We start from the raw sequence: 22006 nt of genomic DNA, 5'->3' as shown, positions 1-22006 counted from the left end.
AACCATGTCTAACAATTTTAGAGAAGGGTGGTATTTAAATATGAAGGAAAGGTGATACTTAAATATGAAGATGTTTATCTCACTCTCCTCAGAATTCTTTGGAATAATGGTTTCCAAACTTGGTCACATTTTTTAAATACCTGAGGAATGTAATAAAATATAAATATGTTTAGTCCTCACCTCAGATATATTGAATTTGGATCCTAGATAGATGTTGCTTAGAAAATTGTAATAAAAACAAAAAACTCATAACAATAATTTTCCAGGTGAATGGCCAGGTTTACTGTGTTAAAAGTTTCTTAGTCAGAACTTGATTTAAATTATGTAAATATTATTTACTTTGAGCCATAGAGAGTATTATTGTTATTTTATTTTTCATATACCTTTTCTTTTCTTTTTTCTTTTTAAGAGATGGGGTCTCGCTATGTTGTCCAGGCTGGCCTTGAACTCCTGGGCTCAAGCAATCCTCCCAGTTTGGCCTCCCAAAGTGCTGGGATTATAGGCATGAGCCACTGCACCCAGTCTCATACACCTTTTAATATTTCTTGGAGTTAAAATTATCCTATCTTTTCATTTGTTTCATTTTTATGTATATATTGCTAATTCTTTCCACACTCAGTCGACTATATATAGGATGAAACCTGTTAGATAATTTATGTCATATGCATTTTTCCCCAGAGCCTTATATTCTCCTCCAATTTTGACTTCAGTCTAAAACAACACAAGTGCATGGTTCCTATATTGAGATTTTATGGATTTTCTGTGTCAAATCTGCTTATTTTATCTCATGTCATTTTCCTTCTTTCTTTATTCCCTCATTTTAATAACACGTATTAGCTACAACATCCTAAAAGAGCATGAGGCATACATTTCTGAGACCTTACATGTCTGAACATTCTTTGTTTACCCCTCACAAGTAATTAATACCGTCTTTGCTTGGGCTATGATAACAAAATACCATAACTGGGTAACTTAAACAATAGAAATGTATTTCTCACAGTTCTGGAGACTGAAAGTCCGAGTGCTAATATGGCAGGTTTCTGGTGATGGCCCTCTTTCTAGCTTACAGAGTGCTGCCTTCTTACTGTGTCCTCATGTGGTGAGGAGAGTAACAGAGTAAGTTTTCTGACATCTCTTCTAGGGACACAAATCCCATAATGGGGGTTTCTACTCTCATGACCTCTTTTTTTGTTATTGTTATTTTTGTATTATTTTGTATTTTGTTATTTTTGTATTGTTATTTTTTGTTATTGTTATTAGAGTCTTGTTCTGTCACCCAAGCTGGAGTACAGTGGCATGATGATAGCTCAATGTAACCTCAAACTCCTGGGCTCAAGCGATCCCTGCCTGTCAGCCTCTCAAGTAGCCAGGACTACAGACACATCCCACCATGCCCCACTCTTTTTTTTTTTTATTTTTAGAGATGGGGTCTTACTATGTTGTCCAGACTGGTCTCTAACTCCAGGCCTCAAGTGTTCCTCCCATCTTGGCCTCCCAAAGCTTTGAGATTACAGGTGTAAGCCACTGCCACTGGCCCCCACATGGCCTCTAAACATAATTATCTCCCAAATACACCATCCCTATATACCATCACACTGGGGGTTAGGGCTTCAATATACAAATTTTGGGGGGTCATAATTCAGTCCATAGCAAATCATTTAGTTGATTATAGAATTAAGATAGAAGTTGGCCAGGCGTGGTGGCTCATGCCTATAATCCCAGCACTTTGTGAGGCTGAGGCGGGTGGATCACCTGAGGTCGGGAGTTCGAGACCAGCCTGACCAACGTGGAGAAACCCCATCTCTACTAAAAATACCAAATTAGCTGAGCATGGTGGCACATGCCTGTAATCCCAGCTATTCGGGAGGCTGAGGCAGGAGAATCGCTTGAACCCAGGAGGCGGAGGTTGCGTTGAGCCGAGATCATGCCATTGCACTCCAGCCTGGGCAACAAGAGTGAAACTCCATCTCAAAAAAAAAATATAGAAGTTGTATTCACCCAGAATTTTGAAGACATTACCTCATTGTTTTCTAGATGCAGTGTTGTTGAGAAGTTTTATATCATTTTTGTCCTGGTTTTTTGTATATATTTGTCTTTCTATTCTGGAAGCTTTTAGTATCTCTTTTTTATTCCTGATGTTTTTGTGTTTTGGTCTGGCTCATTTTTTAATACATTGTGCTCAGCAAGAGGGAATCCTTTTATGAAGCTGGAGGTTTATGTCCTTCAATTCTGGGAAAATCTTTTAATTATCGATATAATTTGGATATTTGTCTCACCTGAATGTCACATTGAAATGAGAATCTCCAGCGTTGGAGGTGGAACCTGATGGGAGGTGTTTGGGACATGCGGGTGGATTTCTCATGGCTTGGTGCTGTCCTTGCAATAGTGAGTCCTCATGAGATCTGGTTGTTTAAACGTGTGTGGCCTCTCCCCCCATTCACCCTCTCTCTTGCTCCTGCTCTTGCCATGTGACACATCTGCTCCCCCTTTGCCTTCTGCCATGATTATGACTGTAAGCTTCCTGAGGCCTCCCCTGAAGCTGAGCAGATGCCAGCACCATGCTTCCTGTACTTTCTGAAGAACTGTCAGCCGATTAAACCTCTTTATTTTATAAATTATCCAGCCTTGGGTATTTCTTTATAGCAATGCAAGAACAACCTAATACAATTATGTCCCACTTTTATATTCTTTGTTCTTTCTTCTTGAAATTCCAATAATTTGGGTGTTTGAACTTCTGGATTAAAGCTCTATTTTTTGAGCCATTTTTTCTCATATTAATCATCTTTGACTTTTGGGCAAATTTTTTCAACTTTACCTGATAGTACTTCTACTGAATTTTTATCTTGATGGTCGTGCTTTGATCACATATATAATCATTTCCTAGAGCAATTTTTTTTGTCTTGTGTGGTGGTTTAGTATGTCCACAAATTTTCTGATGCTCCTATCAAAAAACTTTTGCCTGATAACCCTCTTCTTGCATATGGGCTAGATTAGTAACTTGCTTCTAATGAATTTTAGAAAAAGAGCAAGCGATGGTGTGTGACTTTGGGGACTAGATTATAAAGGACATTGTGGCTTTCTGATTGCTTTTTCTCTTGATTACTTGCTGTAACTATGTCATGAGAACCCACCAGAATCTTATGGAGAGGTCTGTGTAGCTAAACTGAGATATCTTACCAGCAGCCATGTAATGAATCATCTTAAAGAGGGTCCTCCAAATCTTCAGAAAACTGCAGCCCCAGATGACAGCTTGACTGCAGTTTTATGAGAGACTCTGATTCCAAACCATTTAGCTAGGTTGCTCCCAGATTCTTGACTCACAGAAACTATGTGAGATAATACTTGTTGTAAGCTGCTAAGTTTTGAAGTAATTTGTCATGCAGCAATAGATAACTAACATACTTTGCCTCTGAGTGTTCTTATAGCATCCTGCTCTTGTTTCACAGATATCCTATTGTCTATTATTTCACAGGACATGAATAGTCATTATTTGTGTATTTTAAGTTTTCATTTGCTCACTGCGTTGTCTAATTCTTTTGGATTTCATTTTTTTTTTTTTTATATTAAGGATAGCTGACAAAAAGCCAAAAAGATGGAAGGGGATACAGATTCTGGGAGTGAGGTGTGGGGAGAGGAGGCAAACAAATGTCCAAGTCAGCTACGAAAATCAAGAAAAATAAAGCAGAGTAAATGATAAATATCCTATAAAGAGATAATTATGTATATACTCCAGAGCAGGGGACCTCAACCCCTGGTACCAGTCTGTGGCCTGTTAAGAACCAGGCCACACAGCAGGAAGCGAGTGGTGGGTAAGCAAGCAAAGCTTCATGTGTATTTGCAGCTACTCCCTATTGCTCATATTAACACCTGACCTCTGCCTCCTGTCAGATCAGTGGTGGCATTAGATTCTCATATGAGTGCAAACCCTACTGTGAATTCTGCATGCGAGGGATCTAGGTTGCACTGCCTTATGAGATTCTAATGCCTGATGGTCTGTCACTATCTCCCATCACCCCCAGTTGGGACTGTCTAGTTGCAGGAAAACAAGCTCAAGGTTCCCACTGATTCTACATTATGGCGAGTTGTATAATTATTTCATTATATATTACAATGAAATAATAATAGAAATAAAGTGCACAATAAATGTAATACACTTGAATCATTCCAAAATCACCCCTACCCCAGTCTGTGGAAAAATTGTCTCCCACAAAACCTGTCCCTGGTGTCAAAAAGGTTGGGAACTGCTGTTCTAGAGGTTTGCTTTGCTCACTTATAAATCATGGGAAGCATTAAACATAGTCTGTCAACCTGATTTAATCAACTATCATTGGCACTCAAATTTCTTTCTTTCCTTTTTTTTTTTTTTTTTTTTTGAGACGGAGTCTCGCTCTGTCGCCCACGCTGGAGGGCAGTAGCATGATCTCGGCTCACCGCAACCTCCACTTCCGGCTCAAGCGATTCTCCCACCTCAGCCCACGCAGTAGCTGGGATTACAGGTGTACACCACCACACCTGGCTAATTTTTTGTATTTTTAGTAGAGGCAGAGTCTCACCATGTTGGCCAGGCAGGTCTCGAACTCCTGGTCTCAAGTGATCCACCCGCCTCAGCCTCCCAAAGTGCTGGGATTACAGGCGTGAACCACTACACCCGGCCTCAAATTTCTTAATTCACATAATCTTTGACAAATATTTCTAATCTAATGTAAGTTAGAAGTACTCAGTGGTGATTCTATACTGTTTCACTTGAATTCTCCTGTCCTAAAGCTGTGTGATGGATAAACCAAGACGTTACAAGAGTGTATTTAGAAAACCTACATATTATTTATCTAACAAGTGGACTGAATGTGGAATTAGTTGAAGGGTAGTTTTCAGACAAAGATAAAGGTCAATAGACTCTTTGTAAACCCCATCACCTACTGTCTGTGTCCTTGAGTAAGTTTCTTAAACTTTAAGAGCCTCTTTTGTAAAATGGGGTTATTTATATATCTACCATAAGGTTGTTATAACAATTTAATGAGATAAAGTACTTAGCATAGTGCATGGAACATTGTTAGCCTTTTTTTTTTGTCTTCTTCTCCTTCTAACTTCTCTTCTCCCCACTATTCTCTTCCTTATGCTACCTCTCTCTCTCTCTTTTTTTTTTTTTGCTTCTCCTCTACTTTATACTTCTCCGTAGTATTAGTATTACATAACAATGAGTTATCATGAATTTTGGATCTGTCTTGGAAGGGCTTCTGACTTATTGACAAGTTTTCTTTTCTTTTCTTTTCCTTTCCTTTTCTTTTCCTTTCTTTCTTTCTTTTCTTTCTTGACAGGTTCTTGCTCTGTCACCCAGGCTGGAGTGCACTGGTGTGATTATAGCTACTGCAGCCTTGACCTGCTGGGTTCAAGTGATCCTCCTGCCTTGGTCTCCTAAAGTGCTGGGATAACAGGCATGAGCCACTGTACCCAGCCTTTATTGGCCAGTTTCATAAGTCTTATCAATATGCTACCACACCAAAAGATATTGGTACCTACATTTATGAGTCATAATCAGACCTCAAACACAGAAGCTTGACTTTCTATAACACACCTAAATCACTGAACAAAATGTTACAGAAAGCCTACTCTGTGAGAGAAATGCTGGGTGGTGGCTATACCAAAATATGACATACTGCTGAAAGTCTAGGGGAGGAGGCAGTCAAATATGCTATTACATGGAACTATCACTAATATAGGCATTTTCAGAACGTTATGGGAGCACTGATATGCTTATGATGGTCACTGAAGGCTTGGCAAAAAAGAAAGAACTTGAAAGGGATGGTGTCTGTGTTTGTGGTTTTGTGTGTGTGTGTGTGTGTGTATAAGGTTGGGCATCTTTCCACATGTGAGAAATAACATATGCAAACTACAGAGATATGAGAGTGTATTATTATGATTGGAGACTAGTAAGTAGCTGAGTGTAAAATCTGAGGACTTGCTATGTATCAAAGTTGTGTGGGAAAACATGGAGTCTTCAAAGACAAAAATACAGTTTTTGCCTGTACAAAAGCAACAAATTAAGTCCGTACTTGCTATCGGAGAATTATAAAATCAGCAGAAGAAATACTCTCATAGCACTTCGTTATAGTCTTTGTTTAATAATCTATCAATGTTTAATTTATTGTCAATGTATTTGTTACTTAATCTGTCAATGCATTTAATAATCTATCAATGTTTATTGGATAAAGAAATAATTAATGACAAATCTTGAAAAATGTTCAAGAGTCAGTGAAGATGAAGCTTTATTTCTCTTTCCCAGATATTACTATTGCCTCTACTCACTCCAGTGTTTCAATATTTATGTGGTACCCATGTGTTTCCTTTTATGTATTTGGCCCTTCTCATTGTTTGCTGCCATCTAGTGTAATGAAGTTGATGTTGTAATGTTTTGTTAACTAAAATGATATTCTCTTGGTTTTTGAGGAGTACTGCCATTCATAATTCGTTTAAAAACTTAAGCCATAATAAAAATTTCAATGAAAGGTGAGAGAGTGCCATCATTATGATGATATTATTTAATAGTGTATAATGATAATTTTGGAGATTAGATTCTATGCATTAAAGCTAAGTAAGTGAAAGAACCTGTATACAATTCGAGAGACTGTAGGTCTAGTAATGGTAATTAATATAATTTTAAAAACTAAATACATTCTGAGGTAATGAAATGGGATGAGGTGCAATCTGAAACACCTTCTGTTCAGTATCACTGTGTCCTGAATTCCTGTACTTCATCTGCTCAAAGTTCATTAATCTTTTGCTGACAATGATTTTTTTTTTTTTTTTTTTTTGAGACGGAGTCTCGCTCTGTCGCCCAGGCTGGAGTGCAGTGGCGCGATCTCGGCTCACTGCAAGCTCCGCCTCCCGGGTTCACGCCATTCTCCTGCCTCAGCCTCCCGAGTAGCTGGGACTACAGGCGCCCGCCACCACGCCCGGCTAATTTTTTGTATTTTTAGTAGAGACGGGGTTTCACCGTGTTAGCCAGGATGGTCTCGATCTCCTGACCTCGTGATCCGCCCGCCTCAGCCTCCCAAGTGCTGGGATTATAGGCGTGAACCACCGCACCCGGCCGGCAATTATTTTTAAAATGTAAAAATGAGGTAGGTAATATTATTTCTTGATAATTAAAACAATTGTAAGTAAATTAAGGTCAGAAAATATCATTTAATTTGTTCACTAGCTTTCACTGTTGCTATGGTCTGAATATTTGTGTTCCCCTCAGATTCATATGTTGAAACTTAATCCCCAATGCAAGAGTGTTAAGGTTGGGGCCTTTAGGAGGTCATTAGGTCAGGAGGGCAAAATCCTCACCGTCATGAATGTGATTGGTGCCATTATAAAAGAGGACCCAGGGAGCTTGTTTGTTCCTGCTACCACATGAGGACACATAAAAGGCACCATTTATGAGGAACAAGCCATCACCAGACACCAAATCTGCTGGCATCTTGATCTTAGACTTCCCAGCCTCCAGAACTGTGAACAATAAATTGTTTTTGTTTATAAGTTACTCAGTCTAAGGTATTTTGTTATAGCAGCCTGGATGGACCAAGACAATTGTCATACACTTATTATAGTGTCATTTTCTCTCTCTCCCTCTCCACTCCCCTTTCTTTTTGCATTCTGTGAAATGGGAAATGTTTTTATTTTTTATATTTATTTCACTTTTAGAAAACTTGTGGCCCTAAAGAAAATGTTGGCTGGGTAGGTGTGCCATGACAACATTACTAGACTTTTCAAAGCAAATGTAAAATTAAATTGTTTTTGAAACCAGCATTTGCTGTGATGGAAGAGACTCCAGATGAAGGACTTCCTTCCGTTCTAGACATAGGGCCTCTTAGAATTTCCTCGGAGAGTCATCAAATTAGAAATGGAATGCCTTATTAGAATATTTCGTCTTTGTTGGGCATGGTGGCTCAGGTCTGTAATCTCACTGCGTTGGGAGGCCAAGGTGAGAAGATCGCTTGAGGCCAGGAGTCTGAGACCAGCCTGGGCAACATAGTGAGACCCTGTCTCTAAAAAAAAGAAAAAAAAATTTTTTTTTAAAATTAACCACGTCTGGTTGTGCATGCCTATAGTACTAGCTACTAGGGAGGCTGAGACAGGAGGATTGGTTGAGCCCAGGAGTTTGAGGCAGTGAGCTCTTATTATACCCCTGCATTCTAGTCTGGGCAACAAAGTGAGACCCTGTTTCTTAGAAAAGAAAAAAGAATATTTCATTCCCCCCCTCCCCAATTCTCCATCCACTTCTACCATTAACATCATGAATTCCTACATATGAGAAACTCTAGGCTGGCCCTGGGGAGCCTGAATTCTAATCCTGGCAGTTTGTTGTAAGTAGTGGTGTGACCTTAGTCCGGACACATAGGCCACTCAGGGTCTTATTTTCCTGTTTTATACATTCGAGCATTGGGTTTAGGTGTGTTTTTGTTTTTGTTTTGCTTTCCATTTCTAAGATGTAGCTTTTTTTTTCACATGCCATTTACTTTGCAGAGCTTTATTTATCCTCCAGATTTGAGGGGAAAGCAAACCTAGATTAGAAAACAGTCGCTGAAAAGGGAGGAAAATAGCTGTGGAAAAGTTGCTGGAGAAACAAGAAAGGTTAACTCCTTGCCTTCTTTTTTTCAGGTCCATCTGCTCTGCTAAAAGGTAGCAGAATAGTTTCAGGTGTATCTCTCATCCTCCCCAAATTAAAAACTGGCTAGATTGATTCTGAACATGTGTTTCTGTTACTCAAAGAATACAATATCCGGTATTGGGAAAGATGTAAGTTCACAATAGATAGTTTATCACAGGGAAATGCAAAGCACAGGTGAGATAAAATGAAATGGAAAGTACAGTACTGCAGGCATGTTTAAATATTCAAAACACCACAGGAGATAAAGAATATACTGACTCCTCACTGAGAAGTTGTAGTCTGTGACCATCTTCTTACATTACTTGTGGAAACTGGAGCTCTGCTATATGAAGTAATTACTAATTCTCTAGAGTGGTTTATGGAAATTGGTTTTATTGTCTCATAAACAGAGTATTAGAAATAATGAACAAATTATTTGGAGAATCTGAAAAAGAAAGAATTTCACCTTTTAAAGTGAGGCAACTTAATTTCATTTGGAGATGGCAGCAAGGAACCACTTAACCTTATAAAGCAAATTAAAGAGTTATGTGTCAGATTGTGAATTCGTCACTGCTGAAAACCTTCCCAGCAGCTTGTATTATGGGGAAAAATATTCAACCATTTAGTTATGCTTTCTTGTCAATTTTCTTCTTTAAGTCTCCTATAATCTATTTAAAAGCATTTATATAGCACCAATTGTTCCCCACTATCTCAAAGGCCCCTTTTTAAAAGCATGAAAAATTTTAAGAAAATGCCTATGGTATAGTAATTGTATTTTTGTATTTGGTAATTGGGAGAAGACACAATATATAAAAATCTCCCTGAAGTTAGACCACTTTTAATGGAATTTGATTAACTGTACCCAGCATCTCTACATATTTCAAGCATAGTGTATATATTATCTGGAGATACTCTTTCAGACTACAGATAATTTTTGTGTGCCAAAGGATTGGATGTTCTCTTATATATCTCCGCAGGGCCTAAGGTCCAAAGGTAGGTACCTGACTGCTCTAGAATAATGACACTCAACCAGATCAGGGAGGGGGAAACCTGAGATACAAGGTGTTGAGCTTTTGCTCCTATAGTTAGTGTTATGAAAACAAAGGGTAAATTGAAGGTGTGTTTTCCCCCCCTCAAACATTATCCTGCCCCTGCCCCACCATTCTTCAGTACTTCTCTAGGAGCAGGGGTTCCTGCACTTAGTAGTTTCATGCACAGTGAACACTTAATAAGACAAAACTGAACAAAAACACATAAATGCTGGGGAGAGGGAATGGGGAAATTGTATGATTAAGAACATCAAACAACCACCACTGACTGTTATGGTCATATTATAAAAGAAGGCACATAAAAATTAGGAAGACGATAGATCTCAATATGAACAGTCAAATTTAAGTTGAATAAATTTAATGTAATAGAAAATTGAATGCATTGTTCCTTTTCTTGTTTTCTGACAGACTGGTGAAAATATATTTATGGACTGGTGCTTGGGAATCACTACTTAGAAGATAAAAATATGATCTTCATTTCTAATCACTTATAACTGTTGAATATCTTTATTTTTTTCTATCTAGAACTTATGTTTAAATCTGTTTTAAAAGTTTCAAATAAAACTGTAGTTTCCTCCACATTGAAGAAAACTTCAAACTTAGGTGTAACATGCAATGTTTTATTTATTTGCTTCTATTATCTTCCTCTGGTTATATTTTGTCATAAAAATTACTTTGCCTCATTCCCCAAAACTATTCGAGGTGGCTTATGGCATATTGTAGTAAAGTTAAATAAACAGAAAATGGAATTAAAATTAAAAAAATAAGGAAATACAGCAAAAAAAATAATGCTAGGGTAAAAAAAATAAATGATGGGAGTCCTGTGTAGATTTTAGAGGTGAGTTTCATGTTTGAATCTAGTATCCATAACAGCCAGAAAAAAGAGTGAAGATGATTGATAAATTATCTATTACAGTATAACAAGTTACCTCAAAACTCAGCTGCTTAAAACAACAAACATTATCTCTTAGGATCAGGAACCTAGGAGTGGCTTAGCTGGGTGGTTCTGGCCCAGAATTTTTCATGAAGCTGCAGTTAAAATGTCAACAAGGGCTGCAGTTATGTGTAGGCTTGACTGGGCCTGAAGGATCCCCTTCCAAGATAACTCATCACATGGCTGTTGGCCAAGGCTACTGACCTTGGCTCCTTGCTGGGCTGGCTATTGGTAGGAGACACCAGTTCCTTACCATGCCTCTGAACAGGGCTGCCTGGGTGTCTGTATAACATGGCAGCTGGATTTACCCAAAATGAGTGATTTAAGAAAGGTAGAGAGGAAGCTATAATGCCTTTTATGATCTAGTCTGGGAAATGGCATACTAACATTTCTATAGTATTCTTTTGGTCACAGAGACCATCTCTGGTACATTGTGGAAATCAATTAAGAATGTGAATATCAGGAGGCTGGGATCACTGGGGGCCATCTTGGCAGGATATCCACCACAGGGATCAAATTATAAGATACAGTGTTATTAGCTTAAAAAAAAAAAACCAGTCTCTTAGGAAAAGGAAAGTTGATTTTTTTTCTAGACTGAGGTAGGAAAGACATTTATTTCTTTGAACTGCATAAAGGGGACATTATATGCAATTGTGTACAATGCTCTCAACAATATACCAAAAATAGCTCTAGTAGTGAGTTACATGTGTTTTTTCTGTTACTCCCTTAATGTAAATTGATGGCATAAAAATGAAATATCATTCAGTGAAAGCACTGATGAAAAATCTACGCAATCAATCAAAATTCAAAGTGTTCAGGTGTCCTGGTATGATCCAAGCATAATCTTCAGGGAGACGGAAGTGAAGCTTCTCAAATTGCAGTAATTTTACCCCGGGATTATACATATTAGTGTGCTGGGGGTAATTAAACCCAAAGAATTCACAAGTCTCATCTTTCTGAAATCTATGTTAAGATTTTGGAGGAAAGTCATGGATTGTGTGTGTGTGTATGTGTGCGTGTGTGTGTAGGAGACAGTCTCACTCCATCGCTCAGGCTGGAATGCAGTGGTGCGATCTCTGCTCACGGCAGCCTTAACCTCCCTGGACTCCCTGGCTGAGGTGATCCTCCCACCTCAGCCTCCTGAGTAGCTGGGACCACAGGTGCGTGCCACCACTGCTGGCCAATTTTTGTATTTTTTTGTAAAGACGGGGTTTCACCATGTTGCCCAAGTTGGTCTTGAACTGCTGGGCTGAACTGATCCACGTTCTTTGGCATCCCAAAGTGCTGGGATTTCAGGCGTGAGTTACTGCAGCCAGCTGGATTTTTTTTTTTTTCTTAAAACATTTGTCATATAAATCCATAAGCAAAAGCAGCAGTTATCGTTTGCATTTATACAAATTTTATATTTTATATTTGTTCAATTTTTATGTGTTTTTATATTATTACAAACCAAGAATCGCTAAGAAATTTTGACTTTTATATCATTGGTTTATTTGCTCCCCTCCCCACCCATACACAATTGAGTACATTATTACTATGAGTCTAGATTATGTAAATGCAATTTCCTCCTCATTATCCACTCCCTCCAGAGTATTGCTTGCACCCAGACCATGTGATTTCTCAGTTATCCTATAGAGGCTTACATATTCATTATTTTGAAGCATGAGGTTGCATCTTTTCAAATTCCTATATGTATTTGTTTGTGTATTTACTTATAATTTGATTATAGAAAACATTTCATTCTCACATATCAGTGTAACTTACTAACATAATTTCCCATAAACAAATGTTTTGTTTACATATATGAAGCTCTGCTTAGTTTTACTTCCTATGCCAGTGAGTTTTCTTGTAATACAAATATACCTGAAATTCCATTTTAAGAGCTATTGTAATGATTCTTTTTGTCATCTTAAAATGCTACATATTTTAAATTACATCTTCAATTAGGACCACCCATTGATGGTGGAAAATAAACATTTTGATGCATAAGCTTAAAACCCATGAATATATAAAATGTTCATACTAAAATAAAATAACCAAAATGATCAAAGGTTGTGAACAAGTGGAAGGGTCCCTGAAGACTTCCTCATTAAACTTCCCAGAAAAAAAGTTAGCATTACTCCAACTACAGTAGAGTGAGCAGTAGGAGGCAGCAGTAAATGAAAAAATGGAGAATGTACTCAGATTCTAGGTTATGGGTGGTAGCATATTAACATCAAAATCTTAGTGGCTTAATGCAATGGCTTATTTCTCACTTGCCTAGTTGATTATAGATCCGATAGACTCTCCAGGGCAGCTCCCTTCCAGACAGATACTCGGGTAGCTAGTCTGCTTTCATATTGTGACTCATCGCAAAACACAGCTTCCATATTTGGAAGATCATGTACTGGCTGTTAAATGCTTTGACTTAGAAATTGCTTACGTATTTTCTTTCCCAGCCGAGAATACTTACATTGAGATTATCTGGCTGCAAGTGTTTAAGGAAATGTGGAGAAGCATATAGATATTTGGTGGGCAGGAGATGCCTCTTCCGTGGATATTTCTGTAAGCATGAGTCTTATTGGGGATGTACAAAATAGCTTAAACCTTAGTATGATTTATGGGGATGAGTAACTATACAAAACAACCGCTCTTTCAGTGGTGTTTAAAAACCAACCACACAAATGAAGAAAGTCACTAAAAATTTTCAAACTGAAAAAAAAAAACCATACAATAATTTAAACAAAAAAATGATATAATTAAAGCCACCTATAAAATCTGTTTCAGAATCCTTGTGGGTAACGAAGCTACTGACCAGGAGGAGATTTGATGAAGATTTGGAACTGCAGATTTGGCCAAAACATGTTTTGCCTCAAAAATTGGTATTTGAACTGAAACAGTGGACCTTTTTGAACTCTATTATTGAAGGATACATTTTCATATGCTCAAAGTGTATTCACACGTTACGTTGAAGACAAATATTGATCTAGTTTTTCACTGATTTTTGTTTACTACTATTTGCAATGAGAATATTTGTGAAATTATGTCTATTTGCAAAGTGCAAACAAAAATATTTCAATAAAATACATGAGTTGTTAGTGAACAGAGCAGCAACTTAAAAAATAATAAATGGGGCCAAATTAATCACATGTAAAACTTTGGGAGTGCTTATATCTTGAATTTATTAGTGAACACTGCTTCTGTTATATATTTAGACTAGTCAAATGCAATGGCTAGAAGTGGGGAAGTAGAAACAGGAGTTCGATTTATAACTGACTAGGAACAAACAACTGACATAACTCACTACCTTCGGATCAGCCTGCTTCATTTTGAGAACATCTCGTCTCAAAACCATTTCCCTTTACTTAGTGTGTTTAAAAGGATGGTACATGATAAATTGCGAAAGTTTTCACTGAAAACAATAGTATTGCTTCAATCAAAAATGAAGTTTGAGCATTGTGTGCAGAAAGTTGATCTTGAAGACTGCAAACTATTTAAATGTGATAAAAATTACAGCTTCAATGGTAAAATGTCACTATATTCACTGAAAATGTTTTTGGATAGGTAATCCCAAGATTGACCCCAGAGTAGGGAACCTATCAGTCTTCCTTATGTCATTAGTGACTTGTTCTCACAGAATGTCCTACAGTAACTTGAAATTTCTGCTTGCTTTCTGTCTTTGTAGCTGCATTCTAAGTGTCTTTCCTTGATTATTTCTCCTCATAGCTTACAATGTAGTAAAAGCAAACAAGCATACATACATACAAACTTCTTGTCATCTCTGTTCACATATTTTTGAGACTCTGGGATTCCCAAAATATTGTTACTCCAAGAGAGAAGAGAAAATTGACAAGAAACTGAAACTGATACTTGGTAATAGCTTGCTCCAATCTGATTTTGCAAAATTGATACATTCATTGCAATAGCATCTTATTCATTTATCATGACATGCTTTTTGATTCATTTTTTCCTGGCAGTAACTAATTTAAAATATTGTTTCTATATTCAAATATATAAAGTAGATTGTAAGAGTTCTAATAGGCAATTTCTATTCTGGAGCTACCCATTGAGTTGGAGATCTGTACCCTCAGAACCTTCAGAGGCACCCATCTCTCTCTATTAAGAGTTAGCACTCTCATCTCCTATTCCCAGTATGGGAAGACACTACGGAGGCCTCTGCTGTGCGAAGCAACACAGGCTCCCTCAGGATCTGCATTACCTTTCCCGGCTGCCAGGCTGATAACTAAGACTAAGTAACAGTATAGCCCATACAGGAATGAGCTAGACTTGACATGGAAAGAAAAAGACCATGTCCCAAAGAAGCTGCAAGAATTAGTCTACCTGCACTGAAAGGAGCTACGGAAGGTTCCGGCCAAGGTCTGAAATGAAAGACTGGATAAAGAAGAGTGTATTGACTTGGGGCCACTCTCTTGGGATGTGAGATTTCCTGACAAGGACCCCAGAGAATAGTGCAGACAAATTGCTAGGGAGGCTCTTAGAAGCTTGGAAGAAGTGACGGCCCAGGCTGAATGAAACTGAAATGCCTATATCCCTCTCTCGTCATAGCAAGAGGGATATGAGATCTTGCTCATAGAAAGAAAAGTTGTGGGCCAGGCACGGTGGCTCACGCCTGTAATCCCAGCACTTTGGGAGGCCGAGGAGGGTGGATCACGGGGTCAGGAGATCAAGACCATCCTGGCTAACACGGTGAAACCCCATCTCTACTAAAAATACAAAAATATTAGCCAGGTGTGGTGGTGGGCCCCTGTAGTCCCAGCTACTCGGGAGGCTGAGGCAGGAGAATGGCGTAGACCCACGAGGCGGAGTTTGCAGTGAGCCGAGATTGCGCCACTGCACTCCAGCCTGGGCGACACATCGAGACTCTGTCTCAAAAAAAAAAAAAGAAGAAGAAGAAGAAAAAATAATAATAGTAAAAGAAAGAAAGAAAAGTTGTGAATTCCTGGGCTTTGTTCCAGGAGAAATTGTAGTCTCTCCTTTCTGGCAATTCTGAAGGAAAATATAGTCAGCTATTTTTATTATATTCAATATGAAATCTAGCCTGGAATCATAGTGCTCATTCTAAATAGTAATAATTAATTATTATTCCTCTGCTTTATTGAGCTATAACTCCCTTTTGAGACACAGTGATGGATATTTTGCTTACATGTTTTATCTAATTTAATCTCAGTATCTTTTCTGTCAATTTTTATTATTATGCTTATTTTGCAGATAAGTACCTTGAAGCTTAGAGAGGTTAAATTACTAATATTAGTGAGATCCATGGTCCAGATGTCATGGAATTCTCTTCAAGGTGCCATTACCAAAATGAATTGTCTGAAACTGTTCCCATTCCTTTTCACTTGTTTCAAAATTCTGATTCCTAGGAGAGGTCATTGATTGGACTTAGCTTGGATCATGTCCTCACTCCCTGTCTAGGAGAGGGTGACACCCTGACTGACAGTCATTTTATACTCTGTGTACCAGGGTAGAAACAGTTCTCTAAGGGAAAATCAGAGTACTGTTCCAAAATGATTGCAGAGGCTGAATAATATCTACTATCGGGTCACATTACCAGCGGTGTCAAGAAATGGAGTTAGAAATACTTGGTAGTAGGAAAAAATAGGAATTAGTTTAGTTTAATTCCAACATCCCACTCCCTGCTTCTGAAGAGGTTATATTTATCTGAGTTCTGCATATCCACTAGCTTTCAACAATTCAAACTCCTTTTTTTCTTAAGAGAACAGGATGCCATCTGTCTCTATAAAAGTGTGCACACACATGTGTGCATATGTGTGTATTTTGTGTACTGGGAAAGAGAAGAGAAAAAGAGAGAGAGAGACAGATTGAATATGCTATTTGGGAGCTATGAAAATGGAGAGTGTCCTAGCGTGGTGGCTCACACCTGTAATCCTAGCACGTTGGGAGGCTGAGGCAGGCAGATCACTTGAGGTCAGGAGCTCAAGATCCAGCCTGGCCAACATGGTGAAACCCCGTCTCTACTAAAAATACAAAAGTTAGCTGGGCATTGCCGCACACACTTGTAATCCCAGTTACTCAGGAGGCTGAGGTGGGAGAATCACTTGAACCCAGGAGACAGAGGTTGCAGTGATCTGAGATCACTCCACTGCAGCTCAGCCTGGGCAACAGAGCAAGACTCCGTCTTAAAAAAAAAAAAAAAAAAAAAAAGAAAATGGAGAGGAATGGGAAGATATGTGTTGTTTTAGAAACAGGTACTAGATGATGGCTGGGCGTGGTGGCTCATGCCAGTAATCCCAGCACTTTGGGAGGCTGAGGCAGGCGGATCACAAGGTCAGGAGATCAAGACCATCCTGGCTAACACGGTGAAACCCCATCTCTACTAAAAATACAAAAAATTAGCCAGGCATGGTGGCACACGTCTGTAGTCCCAGCTACTTGGGAGGCTGAGGCAGGGGAATTGCTTGAACCCGGGAGGCAGAGGTTGCAGTGAGCCGAGATCGTGCCACTGCACTCCAGTCTGGGTGACAGAGTGAGACTCCATCTCAAAAAAAAAAAAAAGAAAGAAAGAAAGAAAGAAACAGTACTAGAATAAGTCAGTCTGCTCTGCTTTGGCATGATGTTTCACACCCTGGAAGTGGGACAGTTTTGGATGGGGTCTAGTTTCATCAAGAAAAAGGGGGTTAAGATCTGTAGGGCATTAAATACATTCAGGTAAGTTTTTTTAGCTCTTGACTTAGAATAATCAAAAGAGAAAGAGGCATATCTCTTTTCTGAGTTGCTGCTAACCTCAAATAGCACTTGGAGGTAGTTGGTGAAATGGAAGGAAACCTTCAAAATGTCATAGTTTTAAAAACCTGAGCCAAGTTCATTGAATTGTATGATTTGCTTTATAATAGGCCTTTCCTATTAGAGCAAGGGTACATATTCAAATGACTTCCAGGGCCAAGTAGATAATAGGTGGATCATAAGATGATAAATGCCACATGACACTCTCCCTCAGTACAGGTCATACTCTAAGGAGTAGTGGGGACTGTGGGTGGTGAGGAATGCATGATGTATGTGAAGGCAGCAGCTGTTATTTACCCACACCTCTCTGTGGAGACCAGAAGTCCCAAGTGCAGGAAGGGAAAGCTTGAGTCTGGTGCCTTAGACCACTTGGCCATTCTGACACACTCAGCAGCTGTTATTTAGTTGTAGCTGATTATTGCAATGTGGACTGCAGTCCTACTGTTACTAGATAATGACAAAACCTAACACGTAATTCTGCTTTAAGTACTTTATATAAATTAATTTATTTAAAGACCCTGCTTTAAGTACTTTATATAATTCTGCTTTAGGTACTTTATATAAATTAATTTATTTAAAGACCTTGCTTTAAGTGCTTTATATAAATTAATTTATTTAATCCCAGAACAACCCTATGATTGCATACTATTATTAGCCCCACTTAGCCGATGAGAAACTGAAGCATGAGAGAGGTTAAGTAACTTGTCTGAGGTGACATGGCTAGTGATAGGCGTAGCTAGAATTCAAACCCAATTTCAAATCCAGAGTCCATGCTCTTAAGCATGATGCTCAGATGAACTCTTGATTTTCAAGAGAAGCTAGGATTTGTCTCATGTGAAATCTACCGATTTAAAAAATGTTAATGACTAAACAAAATAAGCCCATGTACTGAATTTAATACCAGCTAGGACTTCTTGATTGGGCTTTAATATAAACAGAGGAGCTGCAGCGGTAAACAGAAAATAAGATGTAAATTAGTAATGTAGAAAAATCACAATAATCAGTGCAGGCAGAGATTTGGGAAATTCCTAAATGGCAAGGCATAGAAAGTTGTCAGGCATAGTTAGTGCCTACATCTTGGTTTCTAAATACCATTCTTCAGTGAAAAGACCTAGGGCTCTATGGACATGTAGTTGGTTCTAGGACTATGACAGGGAAAGTAGGAGGAGAAGCCTAGAACATCTTGTGGTGCCAGAAAATAAGAAAGTGCTTAAATAGTAATGGGAATACATCAAAGGACACAAGAGACAACTTTAAGGATTTTCCATTGGCCAAATCTAGGACAATTTGTGCAACAAATTAAACGATGACAATAATGGGTTATAGCCCATAGAATAAAATAAATGCACGAGTCCATACCAATATAAATAAATAATTGAATATATAAATAAATGGAGGAGAATGGAAAGCTCTTTCTTACAGTTGAATTCTAGCTAATACATGTAGAATAATAATGGAAAATGGATTATTACCATTTGGCAAACACCACCGTAACAATTATTTCAGGCAAGAATCATCCGTGGATGCTAAAATTAGTGAAAGTATGATGATCTTGTAAACAGAATATTCACAAAATATTAAAGTATCTCCCCACAAGACACTGATTAATTATAAGGATAAAAAGAGTAACTTTACGGTGGAAGAACCTGGGAGACACCACCTTAAATTATCAAAGGTAACACCACCAATAATTAGACATATTCACATCATATGCCTTCTGTTATGATGCACTGTAAAGAACATAGTCTCAGCTGGGTGCAGCGGCTCACACCTGTAATCCCAGCACTTTGGGAGGCCGAGGTATGTGGATCATCTGAGGTCGGGAGTTTGAGACCAGCCTGACCAACATGGTGAAACCTTGTCTCTACTAGAAATACAAAAATTAGCCGGGCGTGGTGGCATGCACCTGTAATCCCAGCTACCTGGGAGGCTGAGGCGGGAGAATTGCTTGAACCCGGGAGGCGGAGGTTGCAGTGAGCCAACATTGCACCACTGCACTCCAGCCTGGGAGACAGAGTGAGACTCTGTCTCAAAAAAAAAAAAAAAAAAAAAAAAAAAAAGAACACAGCCTCACTTCTGTGATATTCTTGTCAAAAATACAAAATCTGAATTTAATCATGAGGAAACACTAGACAAACTGAAATTGAGTGATGTTCTACAAAAAAATTGACCAGTACTCTTCAAAAATATCAAGGTCAAGAAAAGCAATGACTAAGGAATTATTACACACTAAAAGTGATATGAAATCAAATGCCACATGTGGTTTTTATTTTCTCCTTTCCAACTTTTATTTTAGAATCGGGGTACATGTGCAGGTTTGTTACAAAAGTGTATGTGTGATGCTGAGGTTTGGGGTGTGATTGAACCTATCACCCAGGTAGTAAGCATAGTATCAACAGGTAGTTTTCAGTGTTGCCCTTCTCCCTCTCTCCCGAGTAGTCCTCAGTGTCTATTTGTTCCCATCTTTATGTCCATGCATACCCAGTATTTAGCTCTCATTTATAAGTGAGAATATGTGGTATTTGATTTTTTGTTCCTGCATTGATTCAGTTAGGATAATGACCTCCAGCTGTATTCATGTTGCTGCAAAGGATATTATTTCATTCTTCCATAGCTGCATAGTATTTCATGGTAATATGTGCCACATTTTCTTTATCCAGTCTACCATTGATGGGCAACTGGGTTGATTCCATGTTTTTGCTGTTTTGAATAGCTCTGCAACAAACATACAGCTGCGTGGGTCCTTTTGGTATAATAATTTATTTTCCTTTGGGTATATACCCAGTAATAAGATTGCTGAGTTGAATGGTAGTTCAACTCTTAGTTCTTTGAGAAATCTCCAAACTGTTCTTCACAGTGGCTGGACTAATTTTACATTTCCACCAACAGTGTATAAATGTCTGCTTTTCTCCACAGCCTTGTCAACATCTGTTATTTTTTGACTTTTTAAAAAATGCCATTCTGACTGGTATGAGATAGTATCTCATTGTGGTTTTGGTTTCCATTTCTCTTATGATTAGTGATGATTAGTGATATGAAGCAGTTTTTCATATGTTTGTTGGCAACTTGTATGTCTTCTTTTGAGAAGTGTTTGTTCATGTCCTTTGCCTACTTTTTAATGGGGTTATTTGTTTTTTGCTTATTGAATTATTTAAGTTATTATAGATTCTGGATATTAGACTTTTGTCAAATGCATAGTTTGTGAATATTTTCTCCCATTCCATAGGTTGTCTGTTTACTCCCTTGATAGGTTCTCTTGCAGTGCAGAAGCTCTTTAGTTTAATTAGGTTCCAAATCAATTTTTGTTTGTGTTGCAATTGCTTTTGAGGACTTAGACTTACTGTTTTTTTTTTGTTTTTTGTTTTTTGTTTTGCCAAGGCTGATATCAAGAAAGGTATTTCCTAGGTTTTCTTCTAGGATTTTTATAGTTGGAGGTCTTACATTTAAGTCTTTAATCTATCTTGAGTTAATTTTTGTATATGGTGATAGGTAGGGGTCCAGTTTCATTATTCTGCATATGGCTAGCCAGGTATCCCAGCACCATTTTATTGAATGAGGAGTTCTTTTCCCATTGCCTATTTTTGTTGCATTTGTCAAAGTTCAGATGGTTGTAGGTGTGTGGCTTTATTTCTGGGTTCTTTAGTCTGTTCCATTGGTCTATGTGTCTGTTTCAGTATCAGTATGATGTTGTTTTGGTTACTGCAGCCTTAGGAGCAGTGTCCAATCTTTTGGTTTCCCTGGGCCACATTGGAAGAAGAATTGTTGTGGGCCATACGTAAAATACGATAACATTAATGATAGCTGATGAACTAAAAAAATTGCAAAAAAATCTCATAATGTTTTAAGGAAGTTCATGAATTTGTGTTCGTCACATTCAAAGCCATTCTGGGCCACAGGTTGGACAAGCTTGCATTATAGTATGGTTTGAAGTTGGATAATGTGATGCCTCTTTTTGCTTAAGATTGCTTTGACTATTTGGGCTCCTTTTTGATTCCATATAAATTTTAGAATCATTTTTTAAAAATTCTGTGAAAAATGATGTTGGTAGTTTGATAGGAATACTGTTGAATCTGTGCATTGCTTTGGACAGTATGGACATTTTAACAATATTGATTCTTCCAATTTATGATCATGGAATGTTTTTTCATTTACTTGTATCACCTCTGTAGGCTTTATTCCTGGGATGCAAAGTTGGTTCAACATATGCAAATTGATAAATGTGATTCACCACATAAACTGAATTAAAAACAAAGTCCTATGATCATCTAAATAGATGTAGGAAAAACTTTTATAAAATCAGACATCCCTTCATGATAAACACTCAACAAACTAGGCATCAAAGGAACATACCTGAAAGTAAGAGCCATCTATGACAAACCCACAGCCAACATAATACTGAATGGCCAAAGCTGGAACCATTCCAATTGAAAACTGGAACAAGACAAGGGTACCCACTCTCACGACTCCTATTCAACATAGTACTAGAAATCCTGGCCAGAGCAGTCGGGCAAGAGAAAGAGATAAAAGGCATCCAAATAGGAAAAGAAGAAGTCAAACTCTCTCTCTTTGCTGATGATATCATTCTATACCTAGAAAACCCTAGAGACTCTGCCAAAAGGCTCTTAGAACTGATAAACAACTTCGTGA

At 38.1% G+C, this 22006-nt stretch overlaps 1 long non-coding RNA gene across 1 annotated transcript in view, besides 1 other annotated feature; it reads left to right on the top strand.

The window, feature by feature from the left end:
• Positions 1-10274, top strand: part of PIK3CA-DT (PIK3CA divergent transcript) — a 46603-nt gene extending 36329 nt beyond the window's left edge. The window contains exon 3 of the long non-coding RNA NR_125401.1: positions 10090-10274. This is a non-coding gene — a long non-coding RNA (PIK3CA divergent transcript). The remainder of the gene's footprint in view (positions 1-10089) is intronic.
• Positions 20293-20372: an enhancer, noted in NCBI's record as "active region_20859". NCBI's record gives its function as "activates an Ori minimal core promoter by ATAC-STARR-seq in GM12878 lymphoblastoid cells {active_cell/tissue: GM12878}" and the evidence as "EXISTENCE:reporter gene assay evidence [ECO:0000049][PMID:35858748]".

The sequence above is a fragment of the Homo sapiens genome, chromosome 3, assembly GCF_000001405.40.
Source record: "Homo sapiens chromosome 3, GRCh38.p14 Primary Assembly".
Lineage (NCBI taxonomy): Eukaryota > Metazoa > Chordata > Mammalia > Primates > Hominidae > Homo > Homo sapiens.
Note: the sequence above shows the minus strand (reverse complement) of the source record. Positions and strands in the feature narration are given on the sequence as shown.